The sequence below is a fragment of the Homo sapiens genome, chromosome 1 (assembly GCF_000001405.40).
Source record: "Homo sapiens chromosome 1, GRCh38.p14 Primary Assembly".
Lineage (NCBI taxonomy): Eukaryota > Metazoa > Chordata > Mammalia > Primates > Hominidae > Homo > Homo sapiens.
This window is the reverse complement of record NC_000001.11, coordinates 85335616-85358472: the sequence shown is the minus strand read 5'-3', so window position 1 is coordinate 85358472 and position 22857 is coordinate 85335616. Positions and strand designations below refer to the sequence as shown.

General features: G+C 37.8%; 1 protein-coding gene across 8 annotated transcripts in view; it reads left to right on the top strand.

The window, feature by feature from the left end:
* The window catches only part of DDAH1 (dimethylarginine dimethylaminohydrolase 1), a 259716-nt gene that overhangs the window by 219728 nt on the left and 17131 nt on the right, over positions 1 to 22857 (top strand). For all 8 annotated transcript variants that reach the window (XM_005270707.3, NM_001134445.2, XM_011541158.2 and 5 more), the window contains 2 exons: positions 6894 to 6967; positions 7939 to 8058. In XM_005270707.3, coding sequence (XP_005270764.1) covers positions 6894 to 6967; positions 7939 to 8058 — 194 coding nt within the window. The remainder of the gene's footprint in view (positions 1 to 6893; positions 6968 to 7938; positions 8059 to 22857) is intronic.

Sequence of the window (22857 nt, the reverse complement as noted above, 5' to 3'; positions counted from 1 at the left end):
TCACTATGTTGGCCAGGCTGGTCTCAAACTCCTGACCTCAGGTGATCTGCACACCTCGGCCTCCCAAAATACTGGGATTACTATCATAAGCCACCATGCCCAGCCTATTGTAGTAGTTTTAATTACCAAAGTAACAGATGCTAAATGGAGGGAAATTGGAAAATACAGGAAAACACAAGAAGGAAAAAAAATGACCTTCTATTCAAATATAATCACTTTAGTATTTAGTATATATGTCCTTTTAGTACTTCGTATATATACATTTGCATATTTTTACAAGAACATTATTGGTATGTACATCACCACTTTGTATCTTGCTTCTACTTTATTCTTCTACAGCATGAATTTATAAGTTGCATCGTTTTCCATTGTTACTGTATATCTGGTTTGTATTTAAAGGATTCATAATTCAAGATTAGTGTCATTTACAAATAACTTTCTTTCCAGATGGCAAGGTGGATTTAAATAATTTCTATGCAAATTGACTTGGCTTAATGCCAGATGGATAATAGCAGAACTCAACAAAATATGAACAGCTAATATTATTATTGATCTTACTGGAGTCAGTTTTTACAGTGTGTAATGTGGCTACTAAAGAAACAGTAATTTTAGCATTTAACCTTTTCAACTCATTTATCGTATAATTAGTGTTGTATAAAATCATGTGTAAAATCTGGGTCCCCAAATTCATTCTGGTTATACTGATGAGCAAGATAATCAATAGTAATTTTAATTTATAGTGAGAATTTATTTTCCCAGACATGTCAGAGAATACATTTCACCAATGTAGCCCTGACAGCAAAGGCTGGTCCTCAGGGACTTGGGAATGTGGCCCCAAGTGGCCCACTGAAAGCGTGAAGCTTCTTGGAAGTCTAATATTTTGGCTGATGTGAATTTTATATTGAATCTCATATATATGTATAGTCAAGATATAGCCATTTTTGTTTTAATATCAAAATAATGTTTTGCATTACTTACTTTGGACATAATTAATGTTCCTGAAGAAGGAATAGTGTTTATTCTGTGACATTTAAGCAGTTCTTTGCTAAGTGTCACATACTGTCGCTATGGGTGGGGCCACCACGTTGCCAGCTCTGGGGGCGCCATTCTTCTTAGGGATTGTGTGAATAGTATGCCCTGGAGTTGTGTACTGCACCTGTGCTGCCACTGTCTCATGCAGTGGTCCATCTCTGGGGTTTGGTTTGCATGCCCATTGAACCCTAAGAACACAGAACAAGGAGTCAAGAAGGCCTACGCTGCATTCTTATCTCTGGGTGTGCCCAAGCAGACTCAGGCATTCTTTGAATCTGCCTAGTAAGTTCCCCTTAGAATATTCTTTGTGTCTCCCGTTGATGGCACTTTCATTCTTTTTGACAGTACAGAACAACAGTCTGTTTATCTAACAAAATAGGCTTTTGTGAAAAGTTAGATGTGTAAATCACACTTCCTTACAATATAACTCTTTTTTATCAGAACATAGCCATGCAATGAATAACTTATTGTAAGCAGGTACTGTTAACATTTGAAATATGGCTTAACCAAGCTATGTTCACAACCATTTATTTTAGCAGCTGAGCCAGAAAGACCCCCTAAAATCTCCTCAGTGTGAAAGTGCAACTTACACTAGGAGTCTCTTCTTTTGGTCAAAGGTCTTTCCCTAGCATCTCAAGCCCAGTAGTTTTGACCTATCTTCAAAGTAGGTACTAAGCATTTAGGCTTGCCTTTGATACTACCTGTAGACTTTTTTTATTTGTTATATTCAATACTTAAGTTAATGTGTTAATAGTTACTTTGTTCAAAACTGAGATGATGTTGGGATATCTTTACCTCCTTGGCACTCCATTCACACCTAATGTGTGTTCCTGCCTTCTATTTTCTACTTGTCACTTTTCTTCATCTCTTTTATTTTATTGCGGTTAAACACACATAACATTTGCAATTTTAACCATTATTAAGTGTACAATTCAAGTGACATTAATTACATTCATAATGTTATACAACTATTACCACTCAATTTTTGGATTAGGAAGAGTTAGATAAGAAATAAGGTCTGTAACATTTTCTATGTGCTCTATGTCCTCTTTTCTCTGTAATTCAAAGCCTCATTAATAATTTATCAGGAAATGGACAGAAGGAAAGCTGCTTTCCAAATCCAGTTCCTGCTGGGAAATCTGTCAGTCAGGCAAGCAGCTACTGGCAAAAATTGTTTCAATACCATTTCTCTTAAATAGACAGCAACTTACCTCTACTTTTATTTATTTTTGTGAAATATAGAGTACATTAAAAAAGAGTTATAAAATGTTTATGTACAGTTTAAAGATCAATAATAAAATGAACACCTGGGTGTCCACCTCCTGACTTAAGAAGTAGAACATTGCCAGGACCATAGACACCCCTGTGGGGTCCCCAGTCAAAACCAGCCTCTCCCCTGACCTCAAGTAACCACTGTCTTGAATTTTGTGTTAATTATTGCTTTGTTGTTCTTTGAGTTTTGCCTCCATGCATGTATTCCTAAAGTGTATGTTGTTTTAGTTTTGTTTGTCTTGTAGTTTTATAAAGCTACAAGATACCTTTATTAGAGTCACATTATATGAACTCTTAGGTGATTTTTCTACTTTTGATCTAAGTTGATGTGTGTAGCTGTAGTTCATTTTCAATGTTGTGTAGTTCTCTGTGATAAGAATACACCATAATGTATGTATTAATTTTACTACTGATGTGTTTTTGGATGTTTTCCAGTTTTTGTGGATTATCTTCTGTGTTTCTATGTACATTCTTGTGTGTGTCTCCTGGGAACATATACAAGAGTTTCTCTAAAGTAAACACCTGGAAATGAATTTCAGGTGATAGAGTAAACTCTTTTTCTTGTCACTGAAATGATTATATGATTTTCTTTAATCTGTTGATGTAGTTAATTTCATTAATTCATTTTCTGATATTTGACCAGTCTTGCAACCCCAGCATGAAATCAAATTTGATCATGATGTATTCTCTTTTTAACACAGTGTTGAATTTAGTTCGATAACATTTTGTTATGACTATTATTTTTGTGGCCTATAATTTATATTTCTTGTTATCCTTGTCTGGTTTTGATAAAAGAGTTACATTAGCCTCGTAGAATGTATTAGGGAATATTTCCTCTTTTTCTATTCTCTAGAATCAATACTATTTGAATTATATATTCCTTAAACTTTGGAAACAGGCTCTTGTGCCTTCTTTATGGAGAAATTTAAAACTGATTTAGTTGATTAATGATTATGTGACAATTTAGATTTTCCTGAGTCAGTTTTGATGCGTTCCATTTTCTAAGATTTTATCTGTTTTAAGTTTTCAATATGTTGGGTATAAAGTTACTTATATTTCCTAATATCTGTTTAAGCTTCACAGCAACTATAGCTATATTATCTTTTCATTGGTAATGTTAATTTATGCCTTCTTTCTTTGTTTGCCAGAGGTTTGTTAATTTTATTAATCTTTCCTAAGGACCAACTATTGGCTTGGTTGAACTCTTTCTCTTGAATGTTTCTTTTCTGTTTCTGTATTTCCTTCCTTCACATTTCTTTCTTTTTACTCTGTTCTCTTTTTTTCTACATCTCAAGTTGGAATTTTATCTCATTAATTTTAGCCTTTCATCTTCTCTAATGTAAGCTTTTAATGCTATGTAACTTGGCCTCCAAGTACTACTTTAGCAGACTCCTTCTTATTTTTATGTGGATATTTTTGTTATCATTTAGTTTTTTTAAATGTTTTGTAATTTCCACTGTGATTTAATCTTTGATTCATTCAAAGGTAATGAGGTTTTTTTTAAAAAAACTTATTGGTTATTATTGCAAGTTGGTGGAACACTAACTCATAACTGTAATAATTTATATGTAAAAGAAAGACTCAAGTATTTAGCTTTTCTTTCCTTTATGAATTTCATTTCAAGTAGACCAAATACTTGAGGAGAGATTTTCTTTTTAGGGTTGCAGCGAGTAAATGCAGATTCCTAATAAAAAAATAATGGATCTGTGCAATGATCAACAAATGATATTAAAACTGCTATATGAAAGCTTGACAGGAAACTTTATAATGAGGGAATCAGGCTGATGCCACTTGAACACACAGTAGTCCTATTAAAAAAATATATGAATGAGCATCTAATTAACCATCTACATGAAACTGCCTGCTTACTGAAAATACAAAGGATAAAGGAAAAAATTTAAATGTTAAGTTATAAGAGGAAGCAACCAGTCAAAGCAAGAATGTAGGACAGTCAGTAGGAAAAATGGCCTGGTTTCTCCTATAAATGACTGAGACAGGAAGGGGAAAAACAAAAATTGTGAATTGGCATAGAAGAAAATGACACAAAAGACATCAAAAAAATTTAGATGTCCATTTCAGTATTTTAGTTGTTTCCATCAGGAAGATTATTTAGGAGATCTCATCCAACGTACTGCCAGAGACAGAAGTCCAACCTACTTTGAAGAGATAAGCAGCATCCTTCTCTTTGTACTTTCCCATCACATCTTAGCCTTTTTTTACTTTTTTTCAATCAGCCCACATCACGCTCCGAACACCTTAGTCTTTTAAAATGGAAATGGTATGCATGCCACCCTATAAATTTGTTATATACATAAATGTGGAAATTTTCTTCCTCCCTTTGTTTCTTGGAAAAGAATTCCACATGAAATGTGAGAAAACATATTCAGAGAGAAATCAGTATTTTTTTTGCCTCAGAGTATTATGTTTTTCTTAAAAGATTTTCTTAAAAGTTATAAATAAATTAATTTATAAACCTATTTTTATCTTGAAAGAATTAAAGAAACTTGGTATTTTTTCATTGTAGCTGACTATTTAATAAAGTGCATAATACTTTTTTCAAGTAAAATACCTCTCCTTGAGTTAAATTTTGATCTTTATATAATGAGTTTTCTTAAAGGACAACACAATCATGCCATTACCCAAAAAACTGTCAGTGTGCCACAAAAGATTCCTGTGTCTGCCAACAACATAAGCCCTTGGATATTGTCGTAACATCACCTGACCTATGTCATTTGCCCGTTTAATAAGGACATTATGAAGATTAAAGTTATAATATTTATAAAATCTATCAAGCACTTCTGCATGGCTACTCTTCTTATACTTCACCATAATACTCTGAGGCAAAAAGATACTAATTTCTCTTTGAATATCTTTTCCACATATTATGTGGAATTTCAATAAATAAAGGGAAGATGAGAGTTCCCACATTTATGTATTGCCTAACTCCATACTATAATTATTTGCCTATAACTAAGAGACCATTTTTATCTAGTGTTTTGCCTTCTGAGTAGAAAAACTGCTGAATTTCAGAAAAGTCAAATAAGAATGAAGTTTCATCCTGCAGAAATTTTGTACTTTGTACATAGGTATCTTTTGATGTTTTGATTTCAAATATATGGAATGTGTAGTTTCAAAGACACGGCTTTTAGAGGTCAGACCTGAAGACCAGTCAGCACTTAACTCACTTTCCCCAGATTGTTTCCTCAGGCCTCACGTGATCATTTTATAAGAAAAGAATCCGAATTTATCAACAATGTCTAGTACTGTTCTTTTAGTGAAAAAAAAAAAGGTAGTATAATAAATTCTCACTTAACAATGTTGATAGGTTCATGGAAACTGTGACTTTTAAGCGAAGTGACATATAACAAAACCATTTTTACCATAGGCTAATATAAACAAGAGTTAAGTTCCTCTGGCATATTTCTAGTCACAAAAATATCACCCAGCTTCTAAATCAAAACCCAAAACACTTATAATATTAAGCATTGAAATAAATGTCAGCCATATGCACATTTTTTTAAATTAATAAAAACAAGATAATTGCCCAATTTTTGGCCAATTACTGAGTAACAGCAGTTGTGGTGGTGGGTTAAATCAGGGAATAAATATTTGCAAAGATAAAACTGTAAGGAGCCCCTCCTCCCACCATACAGCTCAAAACAATCACAAATATGGTGGGCTCATTGAGCACTTTCCTACGACATCATTTATTGTTGTACATTTGTATGATTATTGGATGCTTTATTACAATCATTTGTATCCATTCATTTTCTAAGGCACTTCTTCCAGTTCAGGGTCATCAAGGGTGGCTGGAGGCTATCCTGGAAGCTCGGGGTGCAAGGCGGCAACCCACCCTGGACAGGACACCGTCCCATCACAGCACACTCACCCACACACACCCACACTTGCTCAGACTGGGACCCTGTAAACATGAAAATTCACCTGCTGTGCACAGCTCTGGGATGTGGGAGGAAACCCACGCAGGCCTAGAGAGAATGTACAAACTCCCTACAGACCATGGCCCCAGCTCAGAATCAATTTTTTCTTTTTCCTCATCAAAGTTGAGCAAAATGATGTTATTTGAGGAACTGTTTTACTGTTAAATTGTCATTGCTATTACTTAATTTCTGATCAGAGATTATCAATGTGTTTATTATTGCCTAAATAAAAATTTCATTCCTATTGTAGTAAAATATACATAACATAAAATTTACCATTTTAACCATTTTTAAGTGTACAGTTCAGAGGCATGAACATTCACAGTGTTAGGCAACCATCACCACCAGGCATCTCCAGAACTTTTTCATCTTCCCAAACTGAAACTTCCTATCCATTAAACAATAACTCCCCATTTACCCTTCCCCATGGCTCCTGGAAACCACCATCCTGCTTTCTGCCCTTTTGAATTTGAAAAAGTTTATTCTTAAGGGCAGTAGTTTGAAATCATTTTTTGTAGTCTCTTTAGTGAAGCTGTTCTCTGTGGTAAGAGAGAACTGTGTGATGCTTTAAGGTCATTATTTATAGATAAAAGAAATGATGTACAGTCACTGGTGCCACCTGCTCACTATGTTCCATGACATCTATTACAGGCAGAGAATTTTTTGTGGGCCTTTCCAAAAGGACAAATCAACGAGGTGCTGAAATCTTGGCTGATACTTTTAAGGTAGGTAAAAGGTAGTTTATGCCTGGCACAAAGCAATTACTTAATAAATAATCATAGAACCATTGAATCAATGTCATGAGTAATGGTGTTTACGCTTCACTGGCTTTGTACAATAATTCGTAATGTTTGTACATTTACTAGAAGTTTTAGAAGCTATAAAATTCAAATTCCTCAATAATTCAGCTTCACTGGGCTACCACAAGAACAACTAAGTTAGCATGGGCATCTTCTGTCTTCTCCCAGTGTATAATTATACAACCACCTGGCAGATGTTCCTGGAACAATCAACAACTTAAAAAAAAATCTGGAAGGCCGGGCGTGATGGCTCACACCTATAATCCCAGCACTTTGGGAGGCCAAGGCAGGAGGATTGCATGAGCCCAGGAGTTCCAAATGAGCCTGGGCAACATGGTGAGACCCTGTTTCTAAAAAAAAAAAAAAAAAACTTGGAAACCCAATTGACTCTGTTATGAAATACAGATTTTTTTTAGATTGGAATCAGGGGTCACCTGTGCTTGAGTGCCTTCTGTGTGCTGTAAACTGTGCTAGGTGTTGCACGTACATCCTCTTAAGGTCCCTTTACTCTATTGATTATTAATAGATTGGCTCTCTACACTGCATAGGAAGGGATATAACTCTCAAGATGCTCCGTTCCCCATGAGGATGTGAGTCTCCAGCTGAGCCACTGTTTACACAGGATATTCAAATACACCCTCCCAGAGTAGCCCACTCCATAGATCAAACAGCCAGCAAAGATGTTGCAGCAGTCACACATCTGGTGACTCTACTGTCTTCTTAGAAGCAGTCTTCGTTTAACTAGCAATATCCAAATCTGTGGGTCCCAGTTTTTCTTCCAAATATTCAAGGTCCCTGTCAGCCTTCAAGAAGTAGGTGTATTTCAGGGAGGTTTTTAATCAGTTTTAGAATTATTCTGCAATACTAAACTGCTTGTTTTTCTATTGTCCACGTAGGACTATGCAGTCTCCACAGTGCCAGTGGCAGATGGGTTGCATTTGAAGAGTTTCTGCAGCATGGCTGGGCCTAACCTGATCGCAATTGGGTCTAGTGAATCTGCACAGAAGGCCCTTAAGGTAAATACAAAACTGTGCTCCTTCTAAATGTAGTGGGGGTGCCTGCCACAGGGTTTTTCACATTCTCTCTGCTGGGGGAGTAACAAGCAGGGTTGGCAGGGAGAGAACAGGCAGGTATTTGAGCTTCTGTGATGTGCACTGTTGTGACCTCACATTCATTAGAAGCCAGGAACACCTAAGTGTAGGAAGAACTCTTCACTGGTGAACTGTTTTTAGTTACACACCAGATTTCCTAAAAAAAAGGCCATGATTCAAAATAATAAACACCAAACTCATCAACATTATCCCTCAGGGGAAAGGAGGGCATGCCACCAGATTGAGCTCCTTGTAATGTTTTCTCACTTAAGTTGGAGAGTTGGTACACAGGGTTTGTTATATTATTCTTATCCTTTTGTTGCGTCTGGACTATTTCATAATAATCTTTTAGAAAGCCATGGTTCAGAAGTACCTAAAAAGCTTAACTTCTTCATTTGCATTTGGAATAATAACATTTTAAGACCGGAAATTTCCTCATTTTATAGATAGTAGACTTGCCAGAAGAAAATTAGACTTGCCCAGGTCACACGGCTAAATCAAGAGTGGAAGTCATTGATAAAGAAGATGACCTTCTGTTGTTACAATGCAGTGCTTTCCCTTTCCTTCTCTGTAACTTCAACCCCGTGAGATGATCTGGACACCCAATAAGGATAAAGACTGTGTCTGTTTTGCTCATCATTATGCTCCTTTGCACTTGGCCCACAGTGGGCCCTTCATAAATGTCTGATGAAGGGATGGATAAATGAATGAGAGAGGTGGTATTATCTCCATTTTGCAGATGAGAAAACTAGATCAAGTGACTCACCCCAGGTCATAGTGCTAATAATAAATGGTGGGTCAGGACTGCAGCCCCTTCCTCTTAGCTGGTCCTGCACACGAGCATGCATGACTTATTAAAGGGCCAAAGCCAGAAGTTCCTCTTAGTCATAGACAGCAAATCTGTGGGCCCTGAGGCTCTTTCAGGTCTCTTCTCTTCTACCTCAGTGCCAAGTGTGGTGGTTTGGCTGGGAAGCAATCGTTTCCTTGAGCTAAATTTCCTCTCTGTATTATCTGCCACTCTTTGAGCTAGCTCACCTGGCCTTTCTTCCACCTCTTCCCAAACGGTATCTTTGATTCTGTTTCTAAGGCTTTTATTAATTGTTGCTGAACAATCTGTCTCAGAATTTGATTTGTATCATGGTGGCTTTTGTTCGTTTACTTTAGAGAATGTCTTTTGTTCTGCTCCATCTGGAAGTTCATGTCAACTTCTTGCATATAAAAAAAGCTGGTGTCTTGAAAGAAAACATTTGATAAATGGTGTCACTCAGGAGGTCTAGGAAGATTATTTTTCTCCTTAGGGACTGTGGTATCTATCCGTGGTACCTAGGCTGGTCTGCATATGTCTGAGATCGATTATAAGATGAGAGGGTTTAAGCTGGTCTATACCATGCATTTGTGTGTATTAGCAGAAAGAACTTCTTCTGGGTGGACCAACTAGAAAAAGTGGCCCCTTCTGCCATTCTGGGTAGATCAGGTCCCTAACTCAAATCATTTGGTCCCTACCTCAATAGGTCTGTAACTCAAATAGTCTAGAGAGACTAACACATAACAAAATAAAAGGTAATCAAATATGACTAATTAGCACTACGTTATATGATATAGGCCCTAACTGCTCTTCAAAGTTCAGAGGAAAAGGGGGCGTTCCCTGAGGCCTAGATATTCAGAGAAAGCTTTGTAGAGAAAAATGAGACTAGATGTGAGTCTTGAAGGATGGATGGCATTTGACAGGGTAGAATTCAATGAGAGAAAATTACAGGTGGGGACATGGCATAAGCAAAGACTGAGCAAAGTACATTGATGAGATGTGAGCAAACCAGCTCAACTCGTAGAGTTTCTAGTGGGTTTCCAGGGGTACAGGTGGAAGGGGCAGGTGAGATCTGAAGAAGTAGGAACTTAACAGTGAGGAAGACAAGATTATCACCGTGAGGGAGCAATCTGGGTCTTTGAGGAGAAAGCCCTGCATTGTTTCAGAGATGTTGGACCAACATTGGAAAAGGAAGACCCTGCAGTCAGAAAAGAGGACCACTGATGACCTAGGAAAAAAACCCCAAGCCCTAAGTCCTATTGCATGGCTTGGCAACTCACCCCTATTTCTCTCTTCATCTTTCCCTTCCCATGGTCAAATTCTCTCAGACCACATCTGTTAAGGGCATCCTATGAAGACTTTATAGTCCTCCTCCCTGTAGAGTTCATTCGAGTTAGTGTTAATAATGATGTTCCTTTTCTACTTGTCAGAACCTATAAATAATCCTCACTAGCTAGAAAGGCATTCGTTGGAGATTGCATTTTCCATCAGCAAATGTACTGCCTAAACCACAGGCCTGTGGATTTGGTGAATGCCCACCTGCCATGTTTCTAGCATCAAAAATGTCATGTTACCTTGTAGTGAAAATAAGAGGACAAACTGATCTGGGGAATAATGAGCTCTCCTAAGGAAATAGTCACAGGTTCGAAATGGGTTGGTGAAACTCAGGTTTGCATGAACTCAGCTGCTTTATTTATTTGAGAGCAGTTTGGTTTCTATGTTACAACCATCAATAAAATTAATAATGGGGCAATTATTTTTTCTTTTTTTATTATACTTTAAGTTCTAGGGTACATGTGCACAGTATGCAGGTTTGTTATATATGTATACATGTGCCATGTTGGTATGCTGCACCTATTAACTCGTTATTTACATTAGGTATATCTCCCAATGCTATCCCTCCACCCTCCCCCATCCCACGACAGGCCCCGGTGTGTGATGTTCCCCATCCTGTGTCCAAGTGTTCTCATTGTTCAATTCCCACCTGTGAGTGAGAACATGCAGTGTTTGGTTTTTTGCTCTTGTGATAGTTTGTTGAGAATGATGGTTTCCAGCTTCATCCATGTCCCTACAAAGGACATGAACTCATCCTTTTTTATGGCTGCATAGTATTCCATGGTGTATATGTGCCACATTTTCTTAATCCAGTCTATCATTGATGGACATTTGGGTTGGTTCCAAGTCTTTGCTATTGTGAATAGTGCCACAGTAAACATACGTGTGCATGTGTCTTTATAGCAGCATGATTTATAATCCTTTGGGTATATACTCAGTAACGGGATGGCTGGGTCAAATGGTATTTCTAGTTCTAGATCCTTGAGGAATCGCCACACTGTCTTCCACAATGGTTGAACTAGTTGACAGTCCCACCAACAGTGTAAAAGTGTTCCTATTTCTCCACATCCTCTCCAGCACCTGTTGTTTCCTGACTTTTTAATGATTGCCATTCTAACTGGTGTGAGATGGTATCTCATTGTGGTTTTGATTTGCATTTCTCTGATGGCCAGTGATGATGAGCATTTTTTCATGTGTCTGTTGGCTGCATAAATGTCTTCTTTTGAGAAGTGTCTGTTCATATCCTTTGCCCACTTTTTGATGGGGTTGTTTGTTTTTTTCTTGTAAGTTTGTTTGAGTTCTTTGTAGATTCTGGATATTAACCCTTTGTCAGATGAGTAGATTGCAAAAATTTTCTCCCATTCTGTAGGTTGCCTGTTCACTCCGATGATAGTTTCTTTTGCTGTGCAGAAGCTCCTTCATTTAATTAGATCTAATGGGGCAATTATTAATTGCTAACTAACATAGAAATATAAATACTCCATGTTATTATAGACAGGCAGGAAGACAGATGAATAGAGACAAATATATCACTTATAAGTGATAAAAGTGGTATTGGCTTTGTTTTTCCCATTTTACAGTTCAAAATACTGAGACCTGATGAAATAATCATTTTGAGTGGGATCTTACAGTTCCAGAAACAAGTTTCCTGGGCCCTGATTCCCCTGGCCCCAGTTGCCCAACCTACTCCATACTGAATCTTCTTTTTTAATTAGAAAACCTTTTCTAATTATTTTGCCATAGATTGGTTCTAGCCGAGCTTGTCTGCTCCTTCCGTGTCTTTCCACCTATCTCCTGACTTTCCATTTTTTACTGGTATCCAGGATCTGAGCAGTCTCAGGATAGGTGTGAGTTTGGTACCAGATATTTATTTTTTCCCTTGTAAACCTTGATGTCTCAGTTCTTTCCTCTGTAGAGAAGTCCCTGGTCACTTGGGCATCTCTTTAAAGGGCATATTACTTAAACAGAGGTGAATTGTGCCTTCCTGTGCTACACACCGAAAGCTTGATTACTTCTCACCTCTGTCACTGCTCTCTGAGTACTTGGTTCCTTCAGAATCTACTTCTTACATGTTTAGGTAAAGCTGAGAGCCCCAAGGGTTTCTGGGTAGTTTTATTGCATTTGAAATACTTTGTAATGGGTTGCAATCTACTCTTGGTTAATGAAGTGGATTCTTATGGAGATCATCATCTTGCCATTTGAGATTATAGTAGAGTTAATAGTGTGTGCATTGTATATTTAAATGAAATCATCCATCTAGGAAGAGTTTAGCAATTCTCAGCTAAAAAGCCCAGAACACATAAATTCATTCATCCACTCATTCATTGATTCATTTAAGATGGAGTCTCACTCTGTTGCCCAGGCTGGAGAGCAGTGGCTTGATCTTGGCTCACTGCAATCTCTGCCTCCCACTTTCAAGAGATTCTCCTGCCTCAGCCTCCTGAGTAACTGGGATTATAGGCACCCGCCACCACGCCCAGCTAATTTTTGAATTTTTAGTAGAGATGGGGTTTCACCGTGTTGGCCAGGCTGGTCTCGAACTCCTGACCTCAAGTGATCTGCCTGCCTCGGCCTCCCAAAGTGCTGGGATTACAGGCCTGGCCACCACAACACATTTAATACAGGGTACCAATCTAGGGAAAGAAGAAAGGAAGACATTATTACTGCATTTTACCATCCATATGGCAAAGGTACTAGAAGTTAGGTTGGTTTGAACAAATGCTAGATATTTAACAGCAAGTCTGATCCTAGAAATACTATTATTTAGGCCAAATTAGTTTTTAGAGCAACCTGCATTTCCTATAGTTTTTCTCCCAACTTTGCATCTCACCTTCATACCCCTCTACCTGTAAAAAAAAAAAAAAATAATGTAAGACAAATTAATTAGCACACAGGCATTAGACCTGTTTGTACTCTTCCAGAAGGAATGTTTGCCTTCTCTAAAAAGATGAGTACTCCAGTTACTCCAAAGTTTGAACAAAAGAAGCCAACCCCCCCAAAGAATAAATATTCTATTCTTTCATGCACATAGTTAAACAAGAGGCAAAGCTACTCTCTACTGTTACCTGTCAGAATAATAGTTATTTTAAGATGAAGGGAGGCAGTCATGGTCCAGAGGGCCACTTTGTGTGTTATACTTTATATATTACACTTTGTATACTTTAATTTTTTAAAGTTTAGGAAAAATATATATGTTACATTGTTGGAAGTAGGCTATGATTGACTTACAGAAATAATTCTCCAATAACTAAGTGTGCCTAACTCCTAACCCCCTGCTTTACCATTCTACATGATGACTGTCTTTTCCACAGACTACCCTGTTTTTAATTTTTTTAATTAAGGGGGAAAAAGACATAAGAAAGAGTAAATCTATACCACATCTCACCTTGTTCTTTTTCTAGATCCATCCCTGAAATTGCCTTCTTTTCCAAAAACCTGGATTAATTACATGCTATCGTCACAGGAGGACAGATAGTAATATCTGCCTCAGGAGGGACTCACAGTAATTCTCAGTAATGATTTTTAACTTGACCTCATTGGTAGCATTCACTCTTCCAGTCAATTGGAGAAAAAAAAATTTTCTTAAGGAAGGAAAGATGAAGGGAGGGAGGGAAGGGAGGGAAGGATGAAGGGAGGGAAGGGAGAGAGGGAGGGAGGTCAGGGGAGGTGGTACCTTTAGCTAAAACTTTCCTGAAACTATTCAGAGGAGGAAGCTGCTGACCCCACCTGGGAGGGACTGCAGCACTGACCGGCTACAGGACTGTGCCATCTGCTGGCCGGGCAGCAGGAGGAGCATCCTCACCTTCCTAACCCCGTGGGAGAGGAATTTTTTGTTGTTTTGTCTTGTTTTGTTTTTGTTTTCATTTTTTTCATATATTACATTTGTGTATATTTATGGGATACAGCTATAGTTTTCTTTGGTGGACTTTTTTAAAATTAGTAATTCTGTTCTTTTGTATCACAATAAATTATTACCTAAAAATACTTTTAATAAAAATACTACAAGGACGTGGTAAGAAAAGAATTATGAGATCACCACTCCATTTTTTGTGCCTTTGTCATGTAAATGGAGCTTAAATACAGTATGTGGTTTTTCAATAGACTTGTAATTTTAAATTAAAATGCTCACAATGCATCTCAATGGAAATGTCTTTTAGGTTTCTTATCTACTTCCTGAAATAACTAACTGAATTTCTAACATTCCTTGAATGAACACAAGAGCTGCTTTGTACCTCATTTAAATTGCATAGCACACAGCCTGTTTTTCTTTTGAATGACTAACTATATAATAGAGATCACTCAGACTGTATTTCCTCTTGTTTTGACTCAGCTGCAGCATTGCTTTTATGTCCAAAAATGTCCATGTTATTTTATAGATGGTCATATAAAAAATGAAGATGGAAAAACCCTTAATGTGTTTGGATTTTATATGCTTTTTATTGCCTGGAATTTCCTTTAATGACAACTAGCAAAACCCAAAAGACAGAATGAGAACTAACTAGCTCATATCAACAGGGTGATTGAAATGGAAAAAATAAAGACTTTGCATTTTTAGTTATTGTTGTCACAGGGAATTATAGTGTGTAGCCACAAGATTTTCCACTTTGAGTCTCTGCTATGAAAGGCATACTGACAATCCCATTGTAGGTTTAATTTTGTCTTACTATCTGGCTGTTGTATTCACCAGCTCCACAAAACAATGATTTTTTTAAATCTGCCATGCGTGTATTAAGAAATTAAAACACAAAACCAAATAGCTTCTGAATTTGTAACAACTGTTTATGCTCCTTTTCCTGGCAGCAGTTGCCTCATCTGACAATATTCCCAGAGCTGTATGCCAACAAGGCTAGGGTGGCCAAAATAAAATGTTTTGGCATAATAAGCCAATAAATAATTTGAAGCTATGACACCAAAACAGCCATGCTGAATTTTAGCATTAGTCCCAAGGCAGGAAGAAGTCAAAATTGGCCAAGTAGGAGAAAGGGAATAATGTGCTTTTTTTTCCTTTTGGGCTTTCAAGAAAATGTCAAAGGGAAAAAGGAATAAATTATATTTAAAAGTGCTGTTCATCCTGTCCAGTATATACTAGACCATCAAAAAGTATTAAACTGACTCTATAGGATATTGTAGGGGTAATCATCTGTTGGATGGTTGGCCACATAGCCTTATAAGGGGCCTTTCAACCCAAGACTCTAACTTCTGAAAGAAAAAGTCTATAAGTGACCTTAAATTAGTGGTTCCTAGTGAGAGTGGTTTAAAGGCATCTGAGTAGCTTTCTGAAAACATACTACCCTGGGTTTATCTCAGAAAATTCTGATATTCTGGGTCTGGAATGGAACCCAGGCATCTGCATTTTTTAAAAGCTCTGCAGGTGATTCTAATGCACAGGCCAAGGTTGAGAGCCACTGCTTTCAAGGATATCTGCAACTTCCAAAAGTGCCCAGCTTACAATCCCGAATAATGTGCACCTGAAGAAGCCAACGTTTTTGTCATACAGGTGCAAAATAACATATCCCGATTACATTAGCAGTAAAAGTAAAGAAAGTATTCAAATTAAAGCCATAGAAAACTAGAAACTTCTTAGGTTTTTCCTGCCCAGAATTAAACATTGTATAAACTTGAAATATAATACCTAACTGGGTAATAATTTGGATGCCATGATTTAATCCATTTGACATGCTAAAATTCCTCATTAAAATATTCCAAGTTACCAAAATCACTAATGTTATCATTTTCTGAGAACAGGAAGCTTGCATTTGACTCATATTCCCATACCTCCTCCTCCAACACACACACACACACACACACACACTCATAGAAAAACCTAACAACAGGACCTGATCTTACTGTGTGAAGATATATGCCAAAAAGGGGGAAAAAAGTTAAACTTCACACTATTACTGATATTAGAGAATACCTTACTTTTTAAAATAATAATCATATGTTGATTCTACTAAAGAAGCATAATTGCCTACAGGGCCAAAATGCCCATGAGGACAAAGCAGAGAACTTAGAATCCATTTCATGGATTGTCATTCTTGCTCTGCCTCCAGCTCTCCCTATGTGACCCCTATCTCCTATACTCGTTCTCTTCTTGAAAAAACAAAGTTGAATTAGCCTCAGTAGGAATCGAGAGTGTTGTTCCTTCCCATTGGAAATTTTATAACAGCCAGTCAAGGTGAAATGCTGTGTCTTAAACCTAGGATGGAGCAAACAACTACTTGGCAAAAAGTAGCAACCATATAATTATAAAGCACTAGTGGTAAGGATCACTTCAGAGTGGGCTCACTGTAGAATCTTAATGTGATATTGTCCTTTCAGTGCCTGTAAGTGATGGAACATCTGGGGTTTTTTTTTGTTTTTGTTTTTCTCTTTGTTTTTGTTTTTGAGACAGAGTCTCGCTCTGTCACCCAGGCTGGAGTGCAGTGGCGTGATCTCGGCTCTCTGCAAGCTCCACCTCCCGGGTTCACGCCATTCTTCTGCCTCAGCCTCCCGAGTAGCTGGGACTACAGGCACCCGCCACCTCCCCGGCTGATTTTTTGTATTTTTAGTAGAGACGGGGTTTTACCGTGTTAGCCAGGATGGTCTCAATCTCCTGACCTCGTGATCCACCGCCTCGGCCTCCCAAAGTGCTGGGATTACAGGCGTGAGCCACCTCGCCCAGCCGGAACATCTTTATATCTGTTTGTGCTTAGCAATGTTTTTATGCCTGTTTGAGGAAAACCACAGAAAGATTCCAACTTCATTCCATTTTCTTAGAAGAAGCTTTAATTACATATATAACTATTCAGTTGGATATCTAACAAACATGATTTTCTAATTCATACATAAAACTCTGATAGGAAAAGCAGCTAAGATTTTCAAAACCTCTTATTACTGTCTCTTCTGCAAAAAGACTTTTAAAACAGCAATTGAAAAGACATCACAGTGGTAAGATTTACTGAGCAGCAACTATTAATATATGAAAGATACTATCCCAAGCACAGGGATACTGAGTCGGATGAGAAATGATCTCTGCATGATCTCTGCCTTCAAGGCTGCTCCCATTTAGCTGGAGAAACAAGAGAGAACATTAAAAGATAAAAACTGTCACCGTGCAACACAACATAAGTGGCTAATAAATGGTTCAGGGTCCTAGGAAAGGTGGTAGGAGTTCTGGAGAGGGATTGATCAACCAGAAGCAGGACTCAAAGTCTGAGTGCACCTGAATGAACGTCAGGCATAGCTGGCACAGAAGAGTGGTGGTTATTACAAACAGGACAGCCTGGGGAAGTGTCAGTAGTACCATCAAGAGACAATGGCTGGAATGGGGGCTGGATGCAGGGAAACAGAGAGAGAGGTGAAAGATACAAGTTGGGGCTGCTTCAAATTATCTTGGCCAATGAAATCGGGGTTTCCTTATCTGTGGGCTGTGGGGGACAACACAGATTTTTTTTTTTAGCAGAGGAGTAGAAGCTGAAGGTGTTTTTTCAGAAAGATCTGTCTGGCACGGTTCCCATAATGATTTAACAGGGATAAGGATTAGGAGTAATAAAACTAGCTGATGCCATTGCACAGCACAGTCTATGAATAAATGAGTGGAGGATCTGGACTAGGAAAGTAGCTGTGAAAGTGGAAAGGGCAGTGCAGAAAGTGAGGCCCACTTAGAGAAGTAACAGAACATCGTGACTGATGGACTTTAAAGGGAGAAAAAGGGACCAGATCAACACTTTGGAAGATAATTACAGAACTCCTGTTCTGTGCCCCTGGGGACAATGATGAACAAAATGACTTCAGAAATAACTACCACAATGGCGTGCCTTTGGTAGAATTTTTGGAAAAGAGTTTAAACTCTCCCTGTCACCATGAATTCAGCATTCCTCATCCACAAAGGAACAGACCATCAAAAATTGGTGGGCAAATGTTGCTGGATTTCACTGACCTAGATTCACATTTTAGGAATAGAGCAGTACTCAGATATGACAGCAGCTCTGGTAGGCATCCGATGCCTAAGCTTGCAAGACACTAACGGGGTTGGCTTCCATTTCAGTTTCCATTGGCAGCAGTGGAATCAGTGCTCACTCAAGTCTGGAGTCTCTGTCCTTTACCCTTTTCCATTTATTTTCATCTGTTACTCTCTCTCAAGGCCCACCAAAAAAATCATCTTAAAAACATTTGCATGCCTTCCATCTCTAGCAGTGTTAGATTGTTTATTGGCTGAATTGATTTGGCAAAAGATTTAAAAAAAAAGGATGATTTCTGTCTCATGGGCTGAGATCGTACATCACAGCATGACCTATGTGATAGTCTCAGCCATGCCAACACCAGTACCTTCGGTCTTGAAGGGATTAGGAAACGTTGTCAGTTGAGCTGGAAGGAGGAGGGTTTTGAGTTTTGGGTTACTGTTTCTCTGTGGAAATCACATGTATTAAATGCCGTAGGTGTTGATAAGTATCCTATTGCTTGGCTGAAGGTTAATAAAGCATAGGGTGAAACATAGACACTAAATTAGAAGTGACATTTTGACCATGAATTATTCTGCAGCCTCCGGGGAAAACTTCCCCACTACATGACACAATACTAGAATTTGGATCATCCTTAGAAATACTGACATGCAAAAGAAACACATTAAATTTTCTACCACCCTCCTGCAAAACCATCCCACTACCATTGCCCTGCTCTTAATCACTTACTATTTTTCCTTGTTTTCATCTTTCAAAATGTTGTATTTGTCCAATAATCTTTAAGAATATTTCTAAATCTCATTTTCTCAGCTATGGTTCTGTTGCTGCTGTTGGGTCCCCATATTACTCATCACACTATCTGTTTGCAAATGTTAAAGGTAGCTTTGGAGATAGATTACAACAGCCATTCCCTTTATCTCTTCCCGAAGTGGGACCAAGTTTAAACCTGTGACCACATACTGAGAGGTGACTCATCGTTATAGGGTTCCAAAAACAACAACAATGAAAAACAATTAGGAGCTAAATGAAAAGCGCTGAATCTATTAGAGTTTTTGTATGTTTTCTAATCACTTATTTCTTTTTTACCCACACCCTGGCAAACGATAAGAACTCCATAAAGTTCGGCTACTACCAGTCATATTATCAGTAGCAGTAACAATACCTGTTAGGTGTGAAGATCATATATATATATATTTTTTTTTTTTTTTTTGAGACGGAGTCTTGCTCTGTCTCCCAGGCTGGAGTACAATGGCACGATCTTAGCTCACGGCAACCTCCGCCTCCCAGGTTCAAGCAATTCTCCTTCTTCAGCCTCCTGAGTAGCTGGGATTACAGACATATACAACCACGCCCAGCTAATTTTTGTATTTTTTTTTTTTTAGTAGAGATGGGGTTTACCATGTTGGCCAGGCTGTTCTTGAACTCCTGACCTCAAATGATCCCCCATCTCTGCCTCCCAAAGTGCTGGAATTACAGGCATGAGCCATCACACCCAGCCAGATCATATTAATTTGAATAGTGTAAGTTAGTGGTCCTCAAACTTTAATGTACCCAAGAATCACACACAGTACACACTTAAAATGTACATCCCATTCCTGGGGTTCACCGCTAGAAATTCTGATTCAGCAAGACTGGGAACCATGGCGTGATTCTGATGCAGGTAATCCATACGCTGTGAGAACACTGGCTGCGTCTGGAGTTCACCAGATGTCAGTTCCTACATGAAGGCAGGGAGAGAAAATCTATTCCTAAAGTAAATTGTTATGTCCTTGAACAGAAAATGTCACCTAAAATCATTCAGAATAATGTCATATTGAGTAAAATACCTGGCACTTTAGAGAAATAGCTCTCATATGAAGGAAAATCAAGCATAACTCCCCTAGATTACTGAAATACAAGTGCTTATGAAATGCTAACTTTTCTCTAAAATGCTGTCTTTTTAGAAAGAAATGCCTACAGAATGAAAGATTTTCATTTATCACATTTTCCATATAGTGCCTTTCTCTGTTGATAACATATGTATATTAAAATACAATGTATCTGCAGTGAGTTTTTATTATGCTCATTCTCATTAGGCACACAGTCCCTCAGACATAGAGAAAAGTCTGCCTTCCTTCCCAGCTAAGAAGTCCTGTGGTATGATACTAAATACATGATACTAAATTCTACAAGAAGGAATAGTGGCAAGAGGAAGGAAACCCAGATCTCTGTTTGGGGGAGAAGTTTGTCTGGTCCCATCCCTGAAGCTTGTTAGAGAGAATTTGAGAAAGATCTCTGGAGAGCAACCAAAGCTGATGAAAGATGGAAGTTCGGTGACTGGTGTGGATTGCACAGAAGGATAATGCAAAAGTGTGGACTGGCAGCTCTTTTCTCTTCATTGAAGGCAGGCTCTGAGTGAGTGTGTCTTTTAAAGGAAATTGCATCAGGAGACTTTAGGAGGGTTTTCAGAGTTATTAAAATGGATAGACTATGGAGGAAAGGGGACTTTAACTTTTTGAAAAAATTAATTTTATTGGCCGGGTGTGGTGGCTCATGCCAGGACTTTGGGAGGCCAAGGCGGGTGGATCACGAGGTCAGGAGTTTGAGACCAGCCTGGCCAATATGGTGAAACCCCATCTTTACTAAAAATACAAAAATTAGCTGGTCATGGTGGTGTGTGCCTGTAGTCCCAGCTACTCGGGAGGCTGAGGCAGGAGAATTGCTTGAACCCAGGAGGCAGAAGTTGCAGTGAGCCAAGATAGTGCCACTGCACTCCAGCCTGGGTGACAGAGTGAGACTACATCTCAAAAAAAAAAAAAAATTAGTTTTATTGTGACATAATTTCCTTACAATAAAATTACAGTTTTAAATGGATAATTCAATGAGTTTTGACAAGTGTATGCAGTTAAGTCCAACAGAACTTTAACTTTTCATATTTGAATTTTTTACGAGATGCACTTGTAATAGTGTGATAATTTAAAAACATGTTTTTAGAAGAACTGTTTGACATTGTATAATCACACCTCACCTCATAAAAGCAGCTTACAAAGACACCTAAGTACAGCAAAATAACATAACTAAAAATAGAAGGGAAAGATGATATAAAACAAGAAACAAGAATGAGGATTTTAATTGGAGCTGAGTTAGAGAATACACACCATCTATTAATCATATGGTTTTTGTCCTTCATTCTGTTGATGCAATATATCATGTTTATTAATTTATGTATGTTGAACCATCCCTTGCATCCTTGCACCTTTGGGATAAATCCCACTTGATCATGGTGTAATATCTTTTTGATTTGCTGTTGGATTTTGTTTGCTAGTATTTTGTTGAGGAGTTTTGTGTCTATATTCATCAGGGATATTGACCTGTAGTTTTTTTTGTTGTGTCCTTGTCTAGTTTTGGTATCAGGGTAATCCCGGCCTCATGAAATGAGTTAGGAAGAATTCCCTCCTCTTATTTGGATCCATTCTCTTTTCTTCTTGGTTAGTCTAGCAGTTTATCAATTTTCTTTATTTTTTCAAAAAAAAACTTTTAGTTTCATTGATCCTTAGTATTATTTTTTAACTCTATTTCATTTAATTCTGTTTTGATCTTTATTATTTCTTTCCTTCTACTAGTTTTGTGTTTGGTTCTTGCTTTTCTAGTTCCTTGAGGTGCAACATTAGGTTGTTTTTTTGAAATCTTTCTACTTTTTTAATGTTGGCATTTGTTGGTATAAATTTCCCTTGTAACAATGCTTTTTCTTTATCCCACAGGTTTTGGTAAGTTGTTTCCATTTTCACTTGTTTCTGGAATTTTTTTTTCTTTCTTTCTTAATTTCTTCATTGACCTTGTAGTCATTCAGGAGCATGTTGTTTAATTTCCATGTATTTGTAGTTTTCAACATTTCTCTTATTGCTGATTTCTTGTTTTATTCCATTATGGTCTATGAAGAGAATTGTCATGATTTTGATTTTTTAATATTTGTTGATACTTGTTTGGGGCCTAATTTTGATTTTTTAACATTTGTTGATACTTGTTTGGGGCCTAATATCTATCCTGAAGAATGTTCTTGATGTGCTAATAAGAAGAATGTGTATTCTGCAGCTATTGGATGAAATGTTCCATATATTTTTGGTACATTTGGTCTAAAGTGCAGTTTAAATCTAACGTGTCTTTGTTCACTTTCTGTCTTTTGCTGAGAGTGGAGTGTTGAAGTCCCTAGCTATTATTGTATTGGAGTCTGTCTCTCCCTTTAGATCTAATGACATTTGTTTTTTATTTTATTTTATTTTATTTTATTTTATTTTATTTTATTTTATTTCATTTTAGAGACAGGGTCTCACTTTGTCACCCAGGCTGGAGTACAGTGATACAATCTTGGTGCACTGCAACCTCTGCCTCCCAGGCTTAAGCCATCCTCCCACCTCAGCCTTCCAAGCAGCTGAAACTACAAGCATGCACCACCATGCCCAGCTAATTTTTGTATTTTTTATAGAGACAGGGTTTCACCATGTTGCCTAGGCTGGTCTTGAACTACTGAGCTCAAGTGATCCACCCACCTCAACCTCCCAAAGTGCTGGCTGGGATTACAGATGTGAGCCACCATGCCCAGCCAACATTTGCTTTTTATATCTGGGTGCTTCAGTGTTGGGTGCATATGTATTTAGAACTGTT